At 38.6% G+C, this 1,638-nt stretch overlaps 1 annotated feature.

The window, feature by feature from the left end:
* Window positions 1–1,638: part of a centromere (Linear centromere model derived predominantly from reads generated in PMID: 17803354. This region does not represent an actual centromere sequence, as long-range ordering of repeats and unmapped WGS contigs is not provided by the model. For details of model production, see http://arxiv.org/abs/1307.0035.) that runs on past both edges of the window.

Raw genomic sequence — 1,638 nt, forward strand, 5'->3', positions numbered from 1 at the left:
ATAGAGCAGGTTTGAAACACTCTTTTTGTAGTATCTGGATGTGGACATTTGGAGCGCTTTCAGGCCTATGGTGAAAAAGGAAATATCTTCCCCTGAAAACTAGACAGAAGCATTCTCAGAAACTTATTTGTGATGTGCGCCCTCAACTAACAGTGTTGAAGCTTTCTCTTGATAGAGCAGTTTTGAAACACTCTTTTTGTGGAATCTGCACGTGGATATTTGTCTAGCTTTGAGGATTTCGTTGGAAACGGGATTACATATAAAAAGCAGACAGCAGCATTCTCAGTAAACTTATTTGTGATGTGCGCCCTCAACTAACAGTGTTGAACCTTTCTTTTGATAGAGCAGTTTTGAAACACTCTTTTTGTAATATCTGCAAGAGGATATTTGGATAGCTTTGAGGATTTCGTTGGAAACGGGATTGTCTTCATATAAACTCTAGACAGAAGCATTCTCAGAAGCTTCATCGGGATGTTTCAATTGAAGTCACAGTGTTGAACAGTTCCTTTCGTAGAACAGGTTTGAAACACTCTTTTTGTAGTATCTGGAAGTGGACATTTCGAGCGCTCTCAGGAATACGGTGATAAAGGAAATATCTTCCAATAAAAGCTAGATAGAAGCAATGTCAGAAACTGTTTCATGATGTATCTACTCAGCTAACAGAGTTGAACCTTTCCTTTGAGAGAGCAGTTTTGAAACACTCTTTTTGTTGAATCTGCAAGTGGATATTTGTCTAGCTTTGAGGATTTCGTTGGAAACGGGATTACATATAAAAAGCATACAGCAGCATTCCCAGAATCTTCTTTGTGATGTTTGCATTCAAGTCACAGAGTTGAACAGTCCCTTTCATAGAGCAGGTTTGAAACAGTCTTTTTGTAATATCTGGATGTGGACATTTGGAGCGCTTTCAGGCCTATGGTGAAAAAGGAAATATCTTCCCCTGAAAACTAGACAGAAGCATTCTCAGAAACTTATTTGTGATGTGCGCCCTCAACTAACAGTGTTGAAGCTTTCTTTTGATAGAGCAGTTTTGAAACACTCTTTTTGTAATATCTGCAAGAGGATATTTGGATAGCTTTGAGGATTTCGTTGGAAACGGGATTGTCTTCATATAAACTCTAGGCAGAAGCATTCTCAGAAGCTTCATTGGGATGTTTCAATTGAAGTCACAGTGTTGAACAGTCCCTTTCATAGAGCAGGTTTGAAACACTCTTTTTGTAGTATCTGGATGTGGACATTTGGAGCGCTTTCAGGCCTATGGTGAAAAAGGAAATATCTTCCCCTGAAAACTAGACAGAAGCATTCTCAGAAACTTATTTGTGATGTGCGCCCTCAACTAACAGTGTTGAAGCTTTCTTTTGATACAGCAGTTTTGAAACACTCTTTTTGTGGAATCTGCAAGTGTATATTTGTCTAGCTTTGAGGATTTCGTTGGAAACGGGATTACATATAAAAAGCAGACAGCTAAGCATTCTCCGAAACTTATTTGTGATGGGCGCCCTCAACTAACAGTGTTGAAGCTTTCTTTTGATAGAGCAGTTTTGAAACACTCTTTTTGTAATATCTGCAAGAGGATATTTGGATAGCTTTCAGGATTTCGTTGGAAACGGGATTGTCTTCATATAAACTCTAGACATA

This window comes from Homo sapiens, chromosome 2 (assembly GCF_000001405.40).
Source record: "Homo sapiens chromosome 2, GRCh38.p14 Primary Assembly".
NCBI classification, from domain to species: Eukaryota; Metazoa; Chordata; class Mammalia; order Primates; family Hominidae; genus Homo; species Homo sapiens.